Genomic DNA, 24,311 nt, shown 5'->3' on the forward strand with positions numbered 1-24,311 from the left:
GACTAGGCAAATATTTTTTATATATGACACCAAAAACATGATCCATAGAAGAAAGAATTCCATAAAAGAAAGAGTGGACAAATTGGACTTAATCAAAACAAAAAGAACTTCTATTATTTAAAAGACGCTGTTAAGAGAATGAAAAGACAGTCTATATATTGGAAGAAAATATTTGCAAATCACATGTCTGTTTAAGGATTTGTGGCTAGAATATGTAAAGAACTCTCAAAACTTAATAAAGAGCCTAATTTTAAAAATGGGCAAATGGTTTGAATAGACATTTCACCACAAAATATGTACAGATGGCAAATAAGCACTCAAAAAGAAGCTCAACATTATCAGTCATTAGGGAAGTGGAAATGAAACCTGCAAGGAGATAGATACCACTACACACGTATCATCACGGCTGAAATCTAACAGAGTGATCCTCCCAAGTGTTAGCGTGTATGTGAGGGAACCAGCACTCTCATGCACTGACAGTGGGAAGGTAAAATTGTACAACTGCTTCGGAAAACAGTTGATCCGTTTCTTAAAGGAGTAAACATACATCTACCAAATGTTTCAGCTATTCTACTTTGAGATGTCTGCCCAAGAAAATGGAAACGATACGGCCATACCACGCCTTGCACACAAGTGTTCATAACAGCTGTATTTTTAATAGCCACAAACTGGAAATAATGCAGATGTTTTACAGTTGGTGAATAGATAAACAGATTGTGGTATATTCCTGTAATGGAACACGGCTCAGCAATAAGAAGGAATATTCCATGACATGGATGATTCTCAAAATTATGCTGAATAAAAGAAGCCAGACAAGAAAGTACTTAATGTATGATTCCATTTATAGAAGATTTCTAGTGACAGAAAGTAAATCAGTGCTCGCTTGGGGACAATAGCTGGGGTAGGAGAAAGTGATTGTGGAGTAGCTCAAGGAGACCTCTGCGTGAGGGGCAGAGTCATTACCTTGCCTCTTGTGACAGTTCCATCAGGTTGCACTATGTCAAAACTTATCAAAGTGCACAGTTTACATATGAGCAGTTTATTGCATGTCAGTGATACCTCAATACGGCATATGACAGTCTTTACCCTGAGCATAATTACGTTTTTGTTGAGTGTAATGGAGCTTTAACTCATGTTATTTGCTGTCCCCTACTTTTGAACCTAATCGTGAATTTAGAAAATGTATAGAATTTTAATGTGCAATGGTAAATTGTGTACTTATGTTTTATTAGGGGAAGTGATTTATTGACAGTTCATTTATTGATTTATTTGTTTATTTTCTCATCAAATCTTTACTATGTTCCAAGGATAGTGCTAGGAACTGGAGATTTCGCAGAAATAGACTCGCATACTATTTAGTGGGGGAGAATAACGTGAAAAGAATTACACGAACTGATTGTATCACACATGAGCTATGTGCGCTGAAGGCAAGAGACAGATTTCCAAACACGCAGCAGAAGAAACTATGCCCCTTGGCAGATGGGGCCCCAGTGGCGGTTTGGGGAAGGCTGTCCTCAAGAAGTGGCATTTGAGTTGCCCTCTGACTGATGCATAGCTGTCGTAAGAGGAGGGGCATGCACCCCTACACAGAGGGGCCCTTCAAGGCCTGGGGCAAGAGGAGGCCTGCTTTGCTGGGAGTGGCGAGGAAAGGCCTGGATGGGTAGTGCTGGAACCGAGGGGACGCGGAGAGACAGGCAGAGCCAGGCAGCACAGGGCTGGTGGGCCCTTAGTTTGCAAAGGTTTTGATACTTTTCAAATTTTTAAGGGAAGAATGATATGATCAGTTCTGTGCTTTGAAAACAATACTCTAGCCATAGCGTGGAGAACAGATGAAATGAGCCCAGGATGGAGGATGTGAAGATGGTTATGAAACTCCCACGGTTGCCCATGGAGAGCTGTGGGAGCCTGGGCTGGAGTGGAGGCAGTGCTGACAAGGAGATGGGGATGGCACCAAGGGAGCCCAGGAGGGTGCGGCGGCGGGCAGACAGGGGGACAGTGATTTGGGTGACTCCTGGGTTTCTGGTTGCACAACAGGATAGATGGGGCGGTCGCCTGTGCTGGAGCCCTGGGCGAGGCTTACCTAGGTTTGGGGCAAGGAGATCAGGAATGGATTCAGGGTTGGGTGTGTCGTTGGAGGCATCCGCATAGAGCTGTTGGAGCTTAGAGGCCCCCTGGACTGAAGCATACACGTGGGACTCGTAGTACAGAGATATGTACTGAAGCTGAAGGACTTGTGAGGTTTCTTACAGGGCAGTTAAAGTGCGAACGTGAGAAGGCCAAGGGCCAGCCTTGGGAAGGGTGGAGATGAATAACCAGGTGGTGCTGATGAGCCTGAAGAGAGAAACTAAGGCAGGGTGGTCAGAGGCCATTAGGAGACGGGCAGTGACCTGAGGTCAGGGGACGAGAGTGCTGGTGTGTTTCTGAGAGGTCAGGTGAGTGCAATTCAGAAGATTGTCTGCTGGCTTGGGCCTGTGCTGGGTGGGAAGGAGGGTGCTATTCCTAGCTGTTCTAGGACAACTGGCCAGCACACACCCAGAGCCCACATACTGGAGCAATGCAGGCATGCCCAGGACTGAAGAGGGGGCTGGGAGGGAGCCTGGCAGTCGCAGAGGGGAGTGGAAATGTTGGAATAGAGTTGTGGAGTATGAGAGAGGGGTGGACTCAGTGAGGGGGTGGACCGTGAGCCCTGTGGAAACCCACCCATGGAGGGGTGCATGCACCTGTAGCAATTGGCAGGGAACTGAGCGGGAGATTAGGGCACTCATTAACTGTCTTGAATGTTTGGTTAAGAGGAAGTGATCTTCAGTGAGGGTCAGCGTGTTTTTCTTGATAAAGGAGGCTCTAGCAAACTGTATCCCTTTCAACCGCTTTAGGGGAGAATGTCTGATATTTTTTCTTTCCTTTCCCACATTTTAAAGTGTGTTCTTTTCCTTCCTGATGGATGCATCTGGTGGTTTAAGGCCAATAAGTGTTGCGTTGAGCCTGAACAGTTGTTTGTTACTCTCAAAATGTCTAAGACTTTCATCTCCAGCTTATACATGTATTGATGTCAGGTGTTTAATATTTCCCCTTTGATTCATTTGATAGTGAATGGCTTCTGAGGTCAGGATGGGGACACTGCCAAAACTAGCTGCTCTCTGCTGAGTCTCTGTTTTGCAGGTGACATTTGATAGTCTAGATTTGATATCATTAAGGTATTTTAGGGAAGTCAATGTATAAGTTTTAGAAAGTTCAGGTGCATGTTGAGGACTATTGTTGTGAGAATGTTATGAATACACTTGTGTCTCTCCTGGGATTGACTTTTTCTTTCCCTTTAGAAAACGCTCACAGTGTATTACATATCATGCTAAATGGATGGAGATGAAGCAAATCCAGGGGTGCTCATTGGGAATATAGTTCCTAAATAACTGCAGTAAATGTAAGTCATGTCCTGGGGAATTATTTTTCTAACTCAAAGCATGAAAACATGAACAATTCAGTTCTGTCTCCATGTGTGGGAGAAGTAAACTCACCACTTACTTTTTTCTTTTTAATCCTTTTTTTTTTAGAGGAAGGTGGGTAGAGAGTGTTATTGGGAGTAGGGGTAGGGATATTGAGGGAAGGGAGAATGATATACACACACACATACATGTACACACATAAGTACACACACATCTATGCATATACACACATGCATCTGTACACACATGTATATATACACGTATATGCATACATATTTATATATACACATGCACAGATATACACATGCATATACACATATGTATGCACACATATACACATGTATATACACATGCATATATACACATATACATACATGCTATCTACACATTTATACACGTGCATATGTACACATGTGCACGTGTATATATGTGTATATATGTGCACGTGTATGTATGTGTATATATGCGTGTATATGTGTATATATGTGTGCATTATATAATGCACACATATGCGCATATATACATACAGTATATACACACCTCTATATGCACGTATCTATAAACACATATGCCTATACACATGGATATGCACATATGCAGACATACACATGCACACACATAAACATACTTGAACACGTGCATATCTATACACATGTTGATACACGCATGTATATGTATGCACATATATACATACGTTTCAGCTTATGGGCGGAAAATATCTGGGTTGGTTTGGTTTTCCTCCTTTTATAGTCAGAAATGGCAGAGCTGCTCAACACGAACTTTTGTCCATCACATACAGAAATGTCAGTGATGTCACTGACATCAGAATTGGCAGTACATGTTTTTCCAAGTTGTCTTCAAGTAAGATGGTTCTTCCATCTTTTTTTTCTTTTGTCTAGGTGGTTATATGGTTTGTAAATTTGGGTGTATGTGAGACTGCCCAAGGACCTGTGGAAATTGAGTGCTGGACACCACCCCCAGAGTTCCTGATTTCGTAGGACTGGGATGGGGCAGAGAATCTGCTTTTCTTTATATATATATATATATATATATATATATATATATATATATATATATATATTTATTATACTTTAAGTTCTAGGTACATGTGCACAGTGTGCAGGTTTGTTACATATGTATACATGTGCCATGTTGGTGTGCTGCACCCATTAACTCCTCATTTACATTAGGTATATCTCCTAATGCTATCCCTCCCTCCTCCCCCCACCCCACAACAGGCCCCGGTGTGTGATATTACCCTTCCTGTGTCCAAGTGTTCTCATTGTTCAGTGAGTGAGAACATGCGGTGTTTGGTTTTTTGTCCTTGCGATAGTTTGCTGAGAATGATGGTTTCCAGCTTCATCCATGTCCCTACAAAGGACATGAACTCATCCTTTTTTATGGCTGCATAGTATTCCATGGTGTATATGTGCCACATTTTCTTAATCCAGTCTATCATTGTTGGATATTTGGGTTGGTTCCAAGTCTTTGCTATTGTGAGTAGTGCCGCAGTAAACATACGTGTGCATGTGTCTTTATAGCAGCATGATTTATATTCCTTTGGGTATATACCCAGTAATGGGATGGCTGGGTCAAATAGTATTTCTAGTTCTAGATCCCTGAGGAATTGCCACACTGTCTTCCACACTGGTTGAACTGGTTTACAGTCCCACCAACAGTGTAAAAGTGTTCCTATTTCTCCACATCCTCTCCAGCACCTGTTGTTTCCTGACTTTTTAATGATTGCCATTCTAATTAGTGTGAGATAGTATCTCATTGTGGTTTTGATTTGCATTTCTCTGATGGCCAGTGATGATGAGCATTTTTTCATGTGTCTGTTGGCTGCATAAATGTCTTCTTTTGAGAAGTGTCTGTTCATATCCTTCACCCACTTTTTGATGGGGTTGTTTGTTTTTTTCTTGTAAATTTGTTTGAGTTCTTTGTAGATTCTGGATATTAGCCCTTTGTCAGATGAGTAGATTGCAAAAATTTTCTTCCATTCTGTAGGTTGCCTGTTCACTCTGATGGTAGTTTCTTTTGCTGTGCAGAAGCTCTTTAGTTTAATTAGATCCCATTTGTCAATTTTGGCTTTTGTTGCCATTGCTTTTGGTGTTTTAGTCATGAAGTCCTTGCCCATGCCTATGTCCTGAATGGTATTGCCTAGGTTTTCTTCTAGGGTTTTTATGGTTTTAGGTCTAACATTTAAGCCTTTAATCCATCTTGAATTAATTTTTGTGTAAGGTGTAAATTTTGTATAAGGATCCAGTTTCAGCTTTCCACATATGGCTAGCCAGTTTTCCCAGCACCATTTGTTAAATAGGGAATCCTTTCCCCATTTCTTGTTTTTGTCAGGTTTGTCAAAGATCAGATAGTTGTAGATGTGTGGTATTATTTCTGAGGGCTCTGTTCTGTTCCATTGGTCTGAATCTCTGTTTTGGTACCAGTACCATGCTGTTTTGGTTACTGTAGCCTTGTAGTATAGTTTGAAGTCAGGTAGCGTGATGCCTCCAGCTTTGTTCTTTTGGCTTAGGATTGACTTGGCAATGCGGGCTCTTTTTTGGTTCCATATGAACTTTAAAGTAGTTTTTTCCAATTCTGTGAAGAAAGTCATTGGTAGCTTGATGGGGATGGCATTGAATCTATAAATTACCTTGGGCAGTATGGCCATTTTCACAATATTGATTCTTCCTACCCATGAGCATGGAATGTTCCTCCATTTGTTTGTGTCCTCTTTTATTTCGTTGAGCAGTGGTTTGTAGTTCTCCTTGAAGAGGTCCTTCACATCCCTTGTAAGTTGGAAGGTATTTTGTTCTCTTTGAAGCAATTGTGAATGGGAGTTCACTCATTATTTGGCTCTCTGTTTGTCTGTTATTGGTGAATAAGAATGCTTGTGATTTTTGCACATCGATTTTGTATCCTGAGACTTTGCTGAAGTTGCTTATCAGCTTAAGGAGATTTTGGGCTGAGACAATGGGGTTTTCTAAATATACAATCATGTCATCTGCAAACAGGGACAATTTGACTTCCTCTTTTCCTAATTGAATACCCTTTATTTCTTTCTCCTTCCTGATTGCCCTGGCTAGAACTTCCAACACTGTGTTGAATAGGAGTGGTGAGAGAGGGCATCCCTGTCTTGTGCCAGTTTTCCAAGGGAATGCTTCCAGTTTTTGCCCATTCAGTATGATATTGGCTGTGGGTTTGTCATAAATAGCTCTTATTATTTTGAGATACGTCCCATCAATACCTAATTTATTGAGAGTTTTTAGCATGAAGGGCTGTTGAATTTTGTTGAAGGCCTTTTCTGCATCTATTGAAATAATCATGTGGTTTTTGTCTTTGGTTCTGTTTATATGCTGGATTACGTTTATTGATTTTCGTATGTTGAACCAGCCTTGCATCCCAGGGATGAAGCCCACTTGATCATGGTGGATAAGCTTTTTGATGTGCTCCTGGATTCGGTTTGCCAGTATTTTATTGAGGATTTTTGCATCAATGTTCATCAGGGATATTGGTCTAAAATTCTACAGAACTCTCCACCCCAAATCAACAGAATATACATTCTTCTCAGCACCACATCACACCTATTCCAAAATTGACCACATAGTTGGAAGTAAAGCACTCTTCAGCAAATGTAAAAGAACAGAAATTATAACAAACTGTCTCTCAGACCACAGTGCAATCAAATTAGAACTCAGGATTAAGAAACTCACTCAAAACTGCTCAACTACATGGAAACTGAACAACCTGCTCCTGAATGACTACTGGGTACATAACAAAATGAAGGCAGAAATAAAGATGTTCTTTGAAACCAATGAGAACAAAGACACAACATACCAGAATCTCTGGGACACATTTAAAGGAGTGTGTAGAGGGAAATTTATAGCACTAAATGCCCACAAGAGAAAGCAGGAAAGATCTAAAACTGACACCCTAACATCACAATTAAAAGGACTAGAGAAGCAAGAGCAAACACATTCAAAAGCTAGCAGAAGGCAAGAAATAACTAAGATCAGAGCAGAGCTGAAGGAGATAGAGACACAAAAAACCCTTCAAAAAATCAATGAATCCAGGAGCTGGTTTTTTGAAAAGATCAACAAAATTGATGGACCGCTAGCAAGACTAATAAAGAAGAAAAGAGAGAAGAATCAAGTGGACGCAATAAAAAATGATAAAGGGGATATCATCACCGATCCCACAGAAATGCAAACTACCATCAGAGAATACTATAAATACCTCTACGCAAATAAACTAGAAAATCTAGAAGAAATGGATAAATTCCTCAACACATACACCCTCCAAAGACTAAACCAGGAAGGAATTGAATCTCTTAATAGACCAATAACAGGCTCTGAAATTGAGGCAATAATTAATAGCTTACCAACCAAAAAAAGTCCAGGACCAGACGGATTCACAGCCAAATTCTACCAGAGGTACAAGGAGGAGCTGGTACCATTCCTTCTGAAACTATTCCAATCAATGGAAAAGAGAGAATCCTCCCTAACTCATTGTATGAGGAGAATCTGCTTTTCTAACAAGTTCTCAGGCAGTGCTGGTGCTGCTGGTCCTGGGGCCATGATTGAGAATCACTGACCTAGCCCACTGAGCTCATTAGCCCAGCAGCACCATGACCTGGACCAGCCAGATGGTGTGCATGACCCTTGAAGCAGACAGGAGGCCACGGTGTCCTCACCTGGGCGTCTTTTCCGTGCGTGGCACAGGCTGCTCACTCACCTTGGTGTGCCCTCCCCATCCTCATGCTTAACAAGTTTCCTAACTAGTACCTTCTTAGTTCAAGACAGAGCAGACCCCGAGTGCTGCTTCCTCATGGGCTTTTGGAGTATTTAAGCATGGAGGCAGAGAGACAGAAAGGACATCCTGCTTGGGTTGGAAGGGGACTCGGAAATTTATCTGAAAAATTGGAATCCCATTTGTTTCTGTGCATAATTTTTTAAAATAAAAAAGAATATGTTTTTTTTTCATACAACAGAAGAGAAACAATCTCCATTAAGAGGCCAAGCTCAGGAGGTTTGTACAAGATTTGATGAAATATGTTACTTAAATTGAGGCATGTATGGAGACATCAGTGAAATATTCAAATTAGGGTTGGGAAGAACTATAGCTAAATAAGATATTGAGTCACAAAAAATGAACAGAAGATGAAGTCACACTGTTTTAGGTAAAGATGCTTTTTAATGCTGAGGCTTTTAAAGAAGAGTAAATCAACCATGTTGCCTGGTTGTGGGAACTAAGGGCAGCCTCAGGGAAGAGTCTGGGTTGCCAGTTCAAAAACACAGCTGGGGCCAGGCACGGTGGCTCACGCCTGTAATCCCAGCACTTTGAGAGGCTGAGGCAGGAAGATCACTTGAGGTCAGGAGTTCGAGACCAGCCTGACCAACATGGAGAAACCCCATCTCTACTAAAAATACAAAATTAGCCTGGTGTGGTAGCACATGCCTGTAATCCCAGCTACTCGGGGGGCTAAGGCTGGAGAATCGCTTGAACTCGGGAGGCAGAGGTTGCAGTAAGCCAAGATCTCACTATAGCACTCCAGCCTTGGCAACAAGAGCGAAACTCTGTCTCAAAAAAAACAAAAAAAAATTAGCCGGGTGTGGTGGCTCATGCCTGTAATCCCAGCTACTTGGGAGGCTGAGGTGGGAGGATCACTTGAACCCAGGAGGTGGAGGTTGCAGTGAGCCGAGATCACACCACTGCCCTCCAGCCTGGATGACAGAGCGAGATTGCATCTCAAAAACAAAAACCAAAAAACACAGCTGGGCGAACGGCTGCTCATCAAGGAAGCAGTTCATGTTGTGGAGTTCAGCTGAGCCGTAGCCTCTTTCTAACTCGAAGGGGTGGTGGGTTTTGCCATCCTTAAATTGAGGATGCCCTTGTTTTCTGAAGGTCTGAAGCAGCCTGCACCGCTCGCACCGTCCTTTCGGCAAAACCAAAGACACATTGCTCAATTTCAGTCCAGCGTATGCTTTGCAATTCAGTGGCCAATTGAGGGTCCATTTGTAAAAACTGAATGTGGAGAAAATGATGACAATTTTGACAACACCCCACCCCAAGTCTGGCCATAGGAGAAAACACTGCATCATGTAGAGAAAGAGCTGGGTCTGGAGAACCGGCTCCAGCTGGCACAGAAGCTCCTTTTCTAGATGGTTCATTCCCTGTGGCTTTGCTGAAGCCTTTGGTGACCGTGGCTGCTTTCATGAATGGCGCTGGAATCACCTGACAAGGATTTCCAAGCAGCCATCATGAAAAGGGCTCAAAAAGCAATGACAGGTTCTCTGGAAACAAATGAAACAATGGAACATCTCGGCAAAGAAATAAAACTTATGAAAAGGAAATTAAAAGTATAGAACTGAATAGAATAATGGAAATAAAACACTGGATGGGCTCAAAGGTACAGTAGAGATGGCAGAAGATTGATTAGTGAACTTGATCGAGGACTCATCAAGGGAGGGGCTCAGTGTAGACAAGAGAGAAAACAGACCTCAGAAAGCAAGGGCTGCCCAGGGCGGCACACACTGCAGGACAGCAGACAGTGTGGGAACGACAGCAGGATTCTTCCCTTCCCTCGCCGGCTCCTTGTCTCTCCCTCTGTGTCTCTCTGTGACTCTGTTTCTCCCCTTTTTGTCTCTCTGTATCTGTGACATCCTCTACCTCTCTGTCTCTCCCTCTCTGTGTCTATGTCTCTGTCTCTCTCATCTCTGAACTGTCAGAATCACAGGAGGCCTCCAGAGCGTGTTTTGTCCCCCTTGGTTGAAGAATGAAAGCCACCCTGTGAAACCTGTGGCTCTTGTGGGTGCCTGCGTGGAGCACTGGCGGGTGCCTGCGTGGAGCACTGGCGGGTGCCTGTGTGGAGCACTGGCGGGTGCCTGCGTGGAGCACTGGCGGCAGACAGGGGCCTGATGTGGGCTGCAGGAGCAGGCCAGCTGCTTAGGGGCAAACCCAATTTGGGGCCTGCGATTTTCCTTAGTGATAGGGAGGCAGGAGCTGTAACCAGAGCTTGCTCTGGACAGCACTGGCTGAACTGATGCCCATGCACAGAGGAAACTGAGCCATGGGCCTGCAGGTGGGCAGTCCTGGGAGAGCACTGGGAAGCCCATGGGCAGCTGGCCGCAGGCAGAGCCAGTGGCAACAGGATGCAGCCATCAATCTCAACAGGGAGGGTTGAAACTTTTAAGGTAAAACTAAGACAATCTTTCATTTGTCTCTCACTTTGTCTACAGTGATCATATTTCCAGGTCTTTTTCGGGATAGTTCCTGTCTTAAACATCCAATTCTCACATTAGACCAACTATATTACTTTTTGGTATATTACTTTTTGCCATGTCAGCATCACTGAACTTCACTTTTGGTAGCCATAATCAAGTGATTTATTAGAGTGTCACAGGCACAGGTCCTTCGTTCATTAATTCACAAATAATATACCAAGTGCCTGTCTGTATATGCCATCTGTTAAGATTCAACCGTCATCCAAACAGACCAAATATGCTGCAGCTGGAGCGTGTATTGTATAGTGCAGGGAGAGATTCTGTAAACATCACACAGAAATCAATGAGACATTTCATTTACCAGTGATATGTGTCATGGAGGAAAACAGCAGGTGGCGGGTGGGAAGTGCCAGCACCTAGGGCGGTGGTGCAGGTTTACATCAGGTCATCGGGGAGGTGTTACTGAGAAGTGACATGAACAGAGACTTGATGAATGGGAGCAAAGAAAGGAATGATGTGAAGATCTGGGAGGATGGTGTTGCAGGCAGAGGGAACAGCTAGTGCGAGGTCCTGGGGTAGAAGCCTGCCTGGCGAGTTCCAGAACAGCAGAGGCCAGTGAGAGTGGGGAGGGTGGTAGCTGGCTGACGAGGTCAAGGAAGGAATAAGGGAGCGATTGTGTAGTACCTGCTTGGCCATTCGAAGGACTTGGCCTTTTATTATTAACCTTTTTTTTGTTTGTTCGTTTGTTTGCTTTTTTAGAGGCAGGGTCTTTTTCTATTGCCCAGGAGGGAGTGCAGTGGCAGATCACAGCTCAATGTAGCCTTGAACTCCTGGGCTCCAGTGAACCTCCAGAGTAGCTAGGACTACAGCATACGTCACCATGCCCAGCTAATTTTTAATGTTTTTATAGAGACAGGGTCTTGCTATGTTGCCCCGGCTGATCTTGAACTCCTGGTTTCAAGTGATTCTCCTGCTTTGGCCTCCCAAAATGTTGGGATTACATATAAGTTCTAGGCATGAACTACCACACCCAGCCTGGACCTTATTTTTTAGAGCAGTTTTAGGTTTCCAGAAGAACTGAGCAAAAAGTACTGAGTTCCTATACACTCCCTTCTTTCAGCCCACCCACTTTCCCCCATTATTAACACCCTACATTAGTATGATGCACCTGTTACAATTGATAAGATGATACTGATACTTTATTATTAACTAAAGTTCACAGTTTCCATTAGGGTTCACTGTGTGTTGTATGTTCTGTGGGTTTTGACAAGTGTATAATGACATGTAGCCACTGTATAATATCATGCAGAGTAGTTTCACTGCCCTGAAGTCCCCTTTACTCCGCCTAGTCATCCCTCCCTCAACTCAACCCCTGGCAACTGTTGATCTTTTTACCGTCCCCATGTTTTTTTTTTTTAAATTACATTTACTGGTTTATTATAAGAATATTGCAAAGGCTACAGATGAAGAGACATGTAGTGCGAGCTATGGGGGAAGTGTCGCACAGCTTCCATGCCCTCCCTGGGTGTGCCCCCTTCAGGAACCTCTACGTATTCAGCTGCCTGGAAGCTCCAAAAGTTTTATCTTTTCCAGAATGTCATATAGTTAGAACAACACATTCTGTAGCCTTTCTGATCGGCTTCTTTCACTTAGCAATATGCATTTAAGGTTCCTCCATATTTTTTTTTTTTATGGATTGATAGCCCATTTCTTTCTATCACTGAGTAATCCCATTGTATGATGTACCACCGTTTTTTCTCCATTCACCTATTGAAGTACATCCTGGTTGCTTCCAAGTGTTGGTAATTGTGAAGAAAGTTGCTATAAACAAATGTGTGCAGGGTTTTGTGTGGACATACGTTTTCAGCCCCACGTGGGTAAATATAATACCAAGGAGCACAATTGCTGGATCATATGGTAAGCCTACATTTAGCTTTGTAGGAGACTGCCCAACTGCCTTCTAGTGGCTGCACCATTTTGCATTCCCACCAGCAATGAATGCGAGTTCCACTGCTCCACATTCTTGCCAGCATTTGGTGTTGACAGTTTTGTGGATTTTGGCCATTCTAATAGGTATGCAGTGGCATCTCCTTGTTTTAATTTACATTTCTTTTATAATATATGATGTTGGATATCTTTTTATGTGCTTATTTACCATCTGTGTATCTTTGTTGGTGTTTTTTTCAGATCTTTTGCCCATTTTAAAAACTAAGTTGTTTTATTAATGAGTTTTAAGAGTTCTTTGTATATTCAGAATACCAGTTATTGATTAGATGTGTTTTGCAAATATCTCCTCCCTGTTGGTGGCTTGTCTTCTTGTTCTCTCAAGGACTTCGGCTTTTCCTGAGTGAAATGGGGAGGTTTTAATGGTTTTGAGTGGAGGAGTGACATTACAGGCAAATTATAAATAATGATAGTAATATGAACCAAATGGAAGATCAGTTTATAAGTGGTTTTTAAAAAATGCATTTCCCAAGTACAGATTGCTACACATCTTATTCACAACTATGGCCCTATTGATTTCAGCCCACCCTGCTGATACTTGAGTTTTGGGTAATAATGATCTTTTTGTCAACCTTTTTATTACTCACAGATAATATGAAAGTCCCAACTGGCCCATCTTTCATGCAAGAGGCTTTTATAGCCCACAAGTGTCCTTGGCCAATGCTTCCTGCCCTCTCTTCCTATCCTCTCACCTCTCTCTCTAGGGCAGCCCCAACTGCTATTTATAGAGAGATGTGCTTAACTGTGGATGTCCTCAGCTGTTTCCAGTCCCCTTATTTCACTTTCTTCCTCTGGGTGAATGGCTCCCTCCTGCTTCACCATCTCCTCTCCAAAATGAGCCTGCCTCTTTGCATGCCTTCAAATCCCCCACAAGTTAACATGTGGATGAAAACAGTTTCTTCCTAGGTGGCCGGGTTCAGTCTTCTCTTAGGTGGCTCTGAGACTTGAACTTGCATTAAACACAGCTTTGAAGCAAAGACTCTTGAGTGGGAAAGGCCAGGAACAAAACACTGCATGACTGCGGAGCTCCCACTCTTGCCCCCTGACTTCACTGTGTGTGGAGCTGGGTGGCAGTAGGACACTTCAGAAGCAAATCTGAGTGGTGGAGGCAAACAAAGGCAGGGCCGCCATAAAAAACCCTAGACGTCTGAGAACACAAGTATGAACAGCGGAGTAGCACTCGGGACTGCAGGGACAGGAGCTGCCATTCTCACCAAGGTGCCTTGGTCAAGAATAGGACATTGGGTTATTGGTGAGGCAGAGTAGATACAGGAGGCAGCATCCCGGCAGAGAACAGACTGCTTGTGCTGAGGGTGGACATGACCCTGCCTCATTTTGAAACTCACCCAGACAATGACTACACAGCTAGTACCCACCTTGGATTCACTAGCACATTTCCGTCAGAGGCCACAGCCTTCTCCATAGGTGTCTTTAACAATGGGCAATAAGAAAATAATCACCAGCCATGCTGAAGTGCACTCAGTGGGAGAGGGAACATGCCAAAGGGTGGGAAACAATAGAGCAAGGGAGCTTAACAAGAAAGTGATGGGCAGCTCTGATTCACAGAATGCCATGCCATCATTTACAGTCTGTTTCCATTAGGTCACAAGCATGAAGGTGAAAGAAAAAAGACAATTATTCCACGTGAACAGGTGAAAGAACAATCTTCGACCACCAGACTCAACTTGAGTTGTCTTATGAATCTGTACTGCTCTCAGTTTTCTTGTACCCAGATTCTTCAAGGGCACATGGAATGGTGGCTGCCGATGGAAGTGGCGAGACCTCAACGGTGCCCACCCCAGCTGCACTTGCTTCCTGGGGATCTGCATCGCTGCAGCCTAACCTTGAGGGGTGGCAGGGCAAGTGCTGTTTCCCAGCTCACTCTCATTCAACAATTAAGATACAACTGCTACGTTTTCATCTAACAATACTGGGAGAACAAAATACGACTCAATGGTGAAATGTATTCTGGGTTATCTGATGAAGTTTTATCTTTAAATATTTTGTTATCCATTTTTGGCATTGCTATGAATTTGGGACTGTTGCCACCAACTCTGAGGGATTTTAAACTGCTTTTAGAGTTTGTGAGAACCAAGCCTCAGGGGATGCATGAGTCAGTTGAAGCACTGTAGTCTTGTTGGTCTCTCTTTGACATTTCATGTCTCTGGCATATCTGAATTTAGGTTGGGAACTGGAGGTTTGGTACACTTGTATCTATTACTACCCTTCATAATCTGGCCAGTTCCATACTCATGGAAAACAATTTGTTTGTTCCCAGATGGCTGCAGCATTTCATTTAGAGTTGGGCTTTGGGATTTCTTGAAGAAGGAATGCAAAAGAGAAACATGCTTTAAAAAAGGTTTAAATTTCTTCCAGTAAACGACTTGCTTAGTATGCTGAAGACTTTTTGGGGGAGCAGCTTACTTATCTGGTATTTAGCAGTCAAATCCTTGGCATTTCTGCCTGTTGCTTCATGTTTTCCAATGGATTTGGAGGAAGAGTTGTCCTGGAGACTTCCAAGTTAGCTCCACTGACCTACATTTTCACTCCATTTAACATTATTGACTGTGGAATGAGCCAGAGTGCCGTGGAAGAGCATAATTCCTGATCAGAAGACAGCTGCAATTTAATTAGAATAAAGCAGTGACTACCATGTAATTAAAAATTAGATGAACCATTGAATGCTAAGCGGACTTCTAGAAGGTGAACTTAGGATTTCAAACCTACCACTGCATCTCTGCATGACATGGTGGAGATCTGCCCTATGAAGACCCCAGCACGCTGGCAGCCCATCTGTCTTGAGGACTGTTTTGTGACGGGGGAGTCACGTTGGCCTGAGGGGAAGAATAATAGATTGGGAGTGGTCATCGTCTTCTTCTCTAATGTATTTAATAATACTTGCACATGGGACAACATTCAAAGGGTACAATAAGTAGAGAGAGAAAAGCAAATTTCCCTTGTTCCCTTGTCCTCCATGCCCAATTCTCTTTCCCCGTAGGGAACTCTTGTTAAGTGGCATATGCTTGCAGAGACAGCTCCATGCATTTCTAAACACCTACATACATTTTCTTCTTGCTTTTTTTTTTTAAAAACACAAAAGGTAGATATTATCCACGGTGTTCCCCACGTTCCCTACCACACCAAACATAACTTGGAGATTGTGACATATCAGGATATAAAGCTGCCCCTTTTTTAAAGGCTGTATGGTAGTGGTGATAGTCTGTTTGTGGAAGCATTAGAATTCATTTAATCTGTCCTCTAGATTGTTTCCAATCGTTTGCCATTACATTGTGTTCTAATTTTAGATGCCGCCAGGAAGCTCTCCAGGTTAGGGCCAGGCAGAAAACAGATAGATGGCACACTGAACAGAGGTGGTTTATGAGACGATTTATGAAGTGAGGGCAGGAAGAAGGACAACCTAGAAGAGATGGGTTAATGACAGAAAAGTCATTAACTCTCCCTGACCCCGAAGCGAAAGGTCAAGGGAAGGAGGGTTTCTCCAGCCAGTGAGAGCTGTAGTTACAGGAGAGGCTGCCTGACAGGAGCCATGGTCTTCCGCGAGTGGTGTGTTGGTAAATGTTAAACACCTGGCTGTCTGGGAGGGGTGGCCCTGGCGTGTACCGTTTGCTGATTTCTGTGCCGTAGGTACTTACACCAGGGCTTTAAAGGCACCAGTGTGACGGGGTGACACCCATACAGCCCACTGTGAGCCAGCTCCAGCATCTACTGCTCTAGGCCCCTGCTTCCTGCCAGGGCCTCCTATTGGCTCAACCCCACCAGAAGCCAGAGAGCAGGGAAGCCTGGTTGATGCAGTCCTCAGAGGCTGGTGCAGGTTGGTGAAATCCACGGGCTGTGTAGTTTTGGACCTGACATTTCAGCTGTCTGAGTCCCTGTTTTCTCATCTGTAAAATACCAGAACTACCTCAAAAGTTTTCTGTGACCCTTTCAGCTAAGGTTCTTTGTTTCACTTACTCCGTGATGAGTGGATTTGGTGACCTAAGTGAGTTAGGTCATTTAGTGCACAGTTGCTGACTGTTTAACATGAGACATCGGTGGGCCCTGCAGTTAGGGAGCTTATGTCTAATGAGGGAGATGAGATGTGCACAAGTAGGTCCAGCCGTGTTGTAGGTCTAGCTGTGGACAGAACCACATGCATTCAGAGGAAGTGATCTTTCATACCTGGGGTGTGAGATTTGATGGCAAAGACCTGGGGTGACCTTCATTCTGTGGTTGGGAGTCTGCATTATTCTCCAAGTAGGAAAAAAACAGAACACTTCTAGAGTCAGTCTATATATACCACTAGGTTCTCTAAGTATGGTCCTGATACCATCAATGTCTACAGGGAACTTGTTGGAAATCCAAATTCTTGGGTTCCACCCCACCTTCTGAATCTGTGTTACTCCAGGTGATTCTGATGCATGTAGATGTTTAAGAAACACTGAGTTATACCATACCAGTGGTTCCCAAACCTGGCTGAAAATCAGAATCAGATGAAGACTTTAAACATACACACACATGTGCACACTGACGCTAGGCTCCTGGGCTGTACTTCAGATCTATGCAGAATCAGAATCTCCCTGGGGAGATAAATACTTCTCAGATGTGACTATTTTCTACTGGTGATCTTAATTGTTGAGATAACATTGAACCTGTTTAATTATTTGCCTTGCTGATACTGCTTGTTCTTCCTTCTGTAGTGGTTTTTTTACTCAAACTCTTTCAAAGTTTGAGAGTCTTTAAATTCTGAGAGGTGGCAGCTGTCTTAGTCGGCTCTCTGCTTTGGTTGAGGGTGGAGATGATTGTTCCTGCCCTGGAGTAGTTGGTAAGGACTTGACATGAAAACTGGATAGCTGTGGATGCTTCTGAAGTCTGACCTTAATGTTGCTTTGTGATTAATTTGCAGCAAATTTTCATATCACACACACTGCTTATCAAATATTAAGTACAAAAGGCATACTTTGAAGGAAAATTGTAATGATTCTGGGACTATGTCTCTGCCTGGTTAGAGTTCTTGATGGAAAAGCCTGGAGTTTATTACCACGGAGAATTTGGCACAGGATTTCTGAAAAGTGAACTGGGCAGAGTTGTTGGTCACTTGAGGCCTGAGTTTTCTGAATATTTCTGGAGACTACATGAGAAAGCAGACTTCCCCACCCCTTTGAATTGTGAAGGCTTTGCTGATTATAAATAAAGCTATGAACATTGCTGTACATGGCTTTCAGTGGACCTATGCTTTCATCTCTCTTGGGTAAATACCTAGGAAAGGAATTGCCGGTCTTAGGGTAGATGTATATTTAACTTTGCAAGAAACGGCCAGTTTTCTAAGCATACCATTTACACTCCCATTAGTCGTGTCTGGGAATTCCAGTTACTTTACATCCTTGCCAACACTTGATATATTGTCAGCCCTTTCCATTTGATCCATTCTGGTGGGGTGCAGTGTTATCTGTGGTTTTAATTTGCATTTCCCTAATGACTAAAGAGATTGAACTGTTTTTCACGTGCTCACTGACCATTCGTTTGTATAGCTTCTTCAGCGAAATATTAAAGGGACTTTCAGCCATCTTGTTTGTATCACAATATTCCAAACATGTTTTTCCACCACAGCTTCACCCATGATCTCAGCTGCCCTTTTTTACTCGCCATCCTTGAGAACACCCTGGACTGCCAAAATGGCACACCTTTGAGATGCAGTTCCATTTGCCTCTTCACCCTTCCAACTCAGAGGTCACCTTTTTTTTTTTTTTTTTTTTTTTTTGAGACGGAGTCTCGCTCTGTCGCCCAGGCTGGAGTGCAGTGGCGGGATCTCGGCTCACTGCAAGCTCCGCCTCCCGGGTTCACGCCATTCTCCTGCCTCAGCCTCCCAAGTAGCTGGGACTACAGGCGCCCGCCACTACACCCGGCTAATTTTTTGTATTTTTAGTAGAGACGGGGTTTCACCGTTTTAGCCGGGATGGTCTCGATCTCCTGACCTCGTGATCCGCCCGCCTCGGCCTCCCAAAGTGCTGGGATTACAGGCGTGAGCCACCGTGCCCAGCCGAGGTCACCTTTTATGCTGGTTAAGCCTCTAGCCCTGCCCTATCTCTGCAGAATTTAGGTTTCCCTCTGCCATGCTTCTGTAGTGCTGAGTCTACATCTCCGTGGCCACACTTGCCATGCTGTGTGCAAGCTTCTGTGCGTCTCACTCTTTGCATTCACCGTGCTTATGCCATCATCTGCCATGGAGTCTAAGCCCAATATTGCTGGATTAATTTATTACCCATTTCATCCTCCCAGCCACTCTGTGCAAAAAGATGTGTTAGCCTTAAATCAGGGACAAAGGCATAGACCCAAGGGGTCAAGTGACTTGTCCAGTGTGACACAACATATTTGTTATACAGCCAGGCACTACTTACTATAAAGTTTTGACTCTTTGACATTACAGTTTTCCAAACAAGTATGTTTTAGGTACAGTGTTCTTTGACCTAGCTTGCTACAGGTACCCATGTACATGTACAGAAATATTTTTCAAGGGATATGCAGGCACAGGATGGTTTTAAGGGAATCCACTTCCAGACCCTCAACTTACATACACAGTCACCTAAAACTGACTAGCCTTAGAAGGTGCCAAGCCATGGAAGACATGAAGCTGGTTGGGCCGTCCCATCTCCTCTCTCATGATGGCCATTCTCCCAATTCATACAGAAAGGCAGACTTTGCACCTGTCATCTTCCTGAGGTGCACTGCTGCAAGATGGAAAACTTCCAGGCTATGTAACAAAGAGACAATGAGAAATATTGATGGTATTAAGAAGTCAATGACTTTAACGACTGAAATGTTGCTACTCAGGGGTTTCCACTTCTTAGCTTTCACAGAAATCAAAGGAGACCTAATCAAGATGTTAATAAATGATTTAAAATATTTTTAACTTACGAGAGACCATATCTGGACTTTGTCCATGTAACTCAGAAGACTTCAAAGAGTTAAGATATATCATGACAAATCTCCTTGCGTTTTCAAGTATTTATTTTTGTGAACAAAGTTTTTCCGGGTTTGCATAAAAATCCTCCAAGACAGGAAAACAAGCGATGCTGGGCCATACCTCACTCTAGCAAAAAGTGATAGTCATTCAGGGGTAAATTAACAAACTAAAAAAAAAGCCCTATACATTTCATTAAAAAAACCATTTCTGTCCGGGTGCGATGGCTCACGCCTGTAATCCCAGCACTTTGGGAGTCTGAGGCGGGCAGATTGCTTGAGCCCAGGAGTTCAAGTCCAGCCTGGGCAACATAGTGAGACCACTATCTCTGAAAAAAAAAAAGAAAAGAAAAGAAAAAGAAATACACTTCCAGATAAAACTTTGCTTTTTATATGTAATAATTTATAAAAATGGTAACATATTGTTTTCATCATTTGTGTACTCATAATAGTTGTGTTAACTCAGTTCAGAAAAAAATCATAGCAATTAGATTCTTATGGCTTAATACTCTTAAATGTAGAGTCAATTATCATTATTTGTGGTAGTTATGTTCTAGAAAGTTACCTTGATCATTGAATTACTGACAAATGCAACACTGCTCTGAGGAGAAATATAGCGTTAGGATCCACGAAGACTCTGGCCAGAACATTTTGCCAACCAATCAATACATAACCTTGTTTTATGTGTATTTTTGTTTGAAGATAGCTTATTTAATATAAATTTCTTACAAGTACTCATATGCAGTATTTCTTTATAATAAACACTGTGTTTCAGTTACAGCATTATGTACTCCTATGACTGTACTAGTTTAATTCTCAGTCATAAGTACACACATGCACACAATACACATACATATACAGTACTCACATAACACGGAATACTGTGAACATGCTTTATACTGTATAGCACAGTAATAACAAATACATAAAGTCCTGAAAAAAGCATTAAGTGAAGATTAAGCATTTAAAGTTTTATACACATTAACTAAAGTCTTACTGTAATGGAGCTGCAGGATGTGTGATGGTCAGTGAGTGCACTGTGGTTTACCCTATCAACCTTAGCTTGCCCCATGAAAATCAAAAGAGGCTGGTGGAACTCACCCTGCACAAGAGGAAGATGTCAGTAAGAGCAGCACATTGTGATCTGGCAGAGCTACCTTAGGAGTTTGTCTTTTGCAACTTGTTGATGGTGTTGGCAACTGTCTCTCAAACTGGCTAGAAAAATTGGTTCAGCCTTGTCTGCCTGGCTTTTTGCCTCAAATCTTTAAGCATCTCAGAATAAGGGATAAATGCAGTGGAAGTGAGGTGCTTAAATGTGAGGCCACGTTCAAGTACAGGGTCACATTCTTCCATGTCATTGAAAATGTTTTCCAAGGCAGAATTCTATTCTGATATTTTGGCTGCTGTGAGAAGGACAATTCTTGGAGTCTTAGGGTGACTTTCATCCCTGACTATGCTCCCATGTTTTGCCATCTCATCCAGGTTTTTGTTTGTGGGTTCTACTGCCTTCTCTGACAAAATTTCCTCCACATCTTCTTCCTTCATGTCATTGAAACCTTCTCCACTTATTTGCCTTGCAATATGCATTGTTTTTTTACATTGTTTTTTATATTTTCTGAAACACCTTCAAAGCCTTGAAAAGTTTTCACAGAGTCTGGCCAAATGTTTTCCCAGCAGTTATTGATAGTAGCCTGCTTGATGCTGTCCCACGCTGTGCCAACATAATCAATAATGCTGCGTATAGTGAGTGATTTCCAGTAGTCTGTCATGGTGGCTTCCTTGTTGGCGTCAAGAGCCTCACAAGCTTTACAATAAAGTTCCCTCGTGTAGTGTGCCTTGAAAGTTTGTATTATGCCCTGAGGGGCTGGACGAGAGATGTAGTATTGGGGGCATGAAAAGAACTTCTTTGTTGGGGTGAGCATTTTCAAGTTCATCGTGCAATGAACTGGGGCATTATCCAAAATTAATAAGACCCAGAAAGCAAGGTTTTTGCCCTAGAGATATCGTTCAACTTCTGGAATGAAGCAGTGGTGGAACCAATCCCAGAATATTTCAGATACCAGCCATGCTTTTCTGTTCTACCGCCAATGGACTGGCATGCAGTTCAGATTTTTCCCTTTAAGGGCTCATGGGTTTTGGGCTCTGTACACCATCAGAGGTTTGCACTTAAAGTCGCCCTTGGCATTGGTGCACAATAGCAAGGTTGAATGCTTTAAAGTCAGGGGCTCGTGTGACCATTTACATTACATAGGTTCATTTGCCAACATTCTTATAAAACAAGCAGTCTCATCAGCATTGAAAACCTGCTCTTTACCATAACCCTTTAACCCTTTTCACGTATAACACTTAGCAGACATTTTAAAAATTCTTCCGCAGCCTCCTTATGGCAGAACCTGCCTTGCCTGCAAGTTTAAAATTTGATTTCATGCTGTACCGCCTTTTGAAACGTGCCAGCCAGCCTGCACTGGCTGAGAAGGGTTTAATATTTTCCTGACCTTGGGTAACATGGCTGTAAATTTCTTTGGCTTTCAGCCTCACAACAATACTGCTCACTACACTACAAAAGTCCATATATGACTTTTTTTATTGGTTGTCGTCTCATGAATCCACAATTTTAGCTGCTTTTCCATCTTTTCCATAGCTTCATCACACACTATAGATGTTACTTTAGCACTTTCTGGAGCAGCCTCATGTACAGATGTGAATGCACTGTATTGTTGATTCATTAACATTGAACTCATGGCCAACAGCACTATAACTCATGCCCGAACAAAGCTTATCTAACACATGTATTTTCTCTGTTAAGACACATCACAGCCTTCTTGCGCTTAGGGACATTAGACAGCATTTCAGCACTACGTTTGGGGGCCATTTGAAACAGAAATCACCATCGGAAAGCATAGAAATTTGAAAAATGTGACACTAAGTAGAGTGAGAAGAGGACATATGTTTACAGAATGAGAACTAAAAAAAAAAGGCAGAGCATGGCCTTATTCAAGCACAGCTGGGAACGTGTACATAAGGTGATCCAAATTTTTCACTGTTCTGCTTGTGTCCATATATGACTGAGAGTGCTTCAAGTATTGATTTTTGGGTTACACATAATTTTTAGCCAAGTAGCTGAGTTCATAAATACAGACTCTTTGAATGATGATTGACTGTATTTGTAGAGGTTACTTGCCAAAAAAGAGTGTGTTTCAAGCATAAAAATAGACTATATGAGGATACAACTTTTTGGGTGAAGTGGAATGAATTAAAGGAGAAAGAATTAATGTCTGACTTGTTCAGAAACTTTTTAGATGGAGAAATGGGTATTATGTTTCTATTACACTTAGATTCTATTGGATATATTTTTTATAAAGGATGCAATGGTTTAATTTAAAAATGTCATCAGAATGTCAGAAATTACATCCTTTACAACTATTTAAAACTATGAAGAAAAAAATTAGGTATTACCTAGATATGTGATAATTTTTGAAAATTATTTTAAAGAGCAAAACGGATTAGGAAGCAGCTTTGCTTTTGCCATTCCACTGAAAAAATGTACAGTTTCGATGGAAACATGTCAGCACTTGCTTGAAGGAATTTTTCAACTATAGAAAGAAAAAAGCTTCATTTCATCCCTTTTGGCATTGCTGAACACTTGGTTTTGATGTATAATTTTAAAACACCTGAGCACCATAAAATGAAACCACAGTATTCCTGAGTAGCCTGGTGAAATGTCGTGATTTTCTCCTACAGTACAGAAGGACAAAAATGCCTTTAATGTCCTCAAATGCTAGAGTTCTAGATGACGCATTAGTTTAAATGTCAACGCTTAATGTCTTCACATGTAATTTGGAACATAAGTTTTCTTACAGTTAAAATAATCCTTAGAGCAAAAAACAAAATAAAGTTTTTCGTATGCCTCAGGCTTCTTAAAATTTTCTAGTAATTGGTACTGTTTCTGGTTTCCTTAGTTTCTTGCCGTGGGTAAGGTCCAAACACCTTACATGTGTTGCTGGTGGCCCTCACAATTCTACCTTGGACTAAAGCACTAGGGAGTCTGTAGGCGCCTTCCTGCGCTCCTCCACTGCGGTGGATCCACAATTTCTTCTCAGCTGACTTACTGGTTTTCATGTTAACTATTTCGGTTAATCATTCATGAAGCGCGTGGCTTATATTTGGGAAAACATTGCACCTTAATCCCAACATGCATAATTTATGTTGCTTAATTATTTTAAGTCATTGCATTAGAATAGTAACTGCGCTCTCCATGAGCCTAGGCTAGAAAGAAGGGAAAAAATCCCAGGTTCTCTCCCAACGATCAGGGGTTACTCAAGCCGCCCGAGTTCTCTGGGGCCCCTCTGGGCCAGGCTGCGTCCACTTGGGAGAGGCCGAGGACCTGGCGCCAAGAGGCGGCGGTGTCTGCGCTAGGGGCCGAGCGGGTGCGCTGTGTCTGCGGGGCCAGGCCAAGGACCTGGAGCAGGGAGGAGGCCGAGCGCGGAGCCGGGCCTTGTCGGCTGCGTCCGCGGGGCTAGGGTAGAGACCGAAGACTGGACAGGAGGAGGCGGCGGTGGCCGCGCGCGGGGCCAACCGGTGGGCTCCCTCTACCGGACCGAGGCCCAGCACTGGGCCAGAGGAGGTGGCAGCTCGCCGGCAAAGCAGGGTGGGCTGCGTCCGCGGGGGCGAACACCCGACGCTATCCGAA

General features: G+C 42.9%; 1 protein-coding gene and 2 long non-coding RNA genes across 21 annotated transcripts in view, besides 1 other annotated feature; 1 reads left to right on the top strand and 2 right to left on the bottom strand.

Annotated features, from left to right (window-relative positions):
* Window positions 1-24,311, top strand: part of ARHGEF7 (Rho guanine nucleotide exchange factor 7) — a 191,116-nt gene that overhangs the window by 14,675 nt on the left and 152,130 nt on the right. The gene's annotated exons all lie outside the window — the stretch shown is intronic.
* Window positions 245-294: a silencer, noted in NCBI's record as "silent region_5527". NCBI's record gives its function as "represses an Ori minimal core promoter by ATAC-STARR-seq in GM12878 lymphoblastoid cells {active_cell/tissue: GM12878}" and the evidence as "EXISTENCE:reporter gene assay evidence [ECO:0000049][PMID:35858748]".
* ARHGEF7-AS1 (ARHGEF7 antisense RNA 1) lies at window positions 15,012-19,272 on the bottom strand. Its single transcript, NR_046516.1, has 3 exons — window positions 19,233-19,272; window positions 15,392-15,498; window positions 15,012-15,283 (listed from the first exon to the last, which is right to left on the bottom strand). It is a non-coding gene; the product is annotated as an ARHGEF7 antisense RNA 1 (long non-coding RNA).
* On the bottom strand, window positions 18,904-24,284 carry LOC101060553 (uncharacterized). Its single transcript, NR_120398.1, has 2 exons — window positions 20,723-24,284; window positions 18,904-19,412 (listed from the first exon to the last, which is right to left on the bottom strand). It is a non-coding gene; the product is annotated as an uncharacterized LOC101060553 (long non-coding RNA).

The sequence above is a fragment of the Homo sapiens genome, chromosome 13, assembly GCF_000001405.40.
Source record: "Homo sapiens chromosome 13, GRCh38.p14 Primary Assembly".
Lineage (NCBI taxonomy): Eukaryota > Metazoa > Chordata > Mammalia > Primates > Hominidae > Homo > Homo sapiens.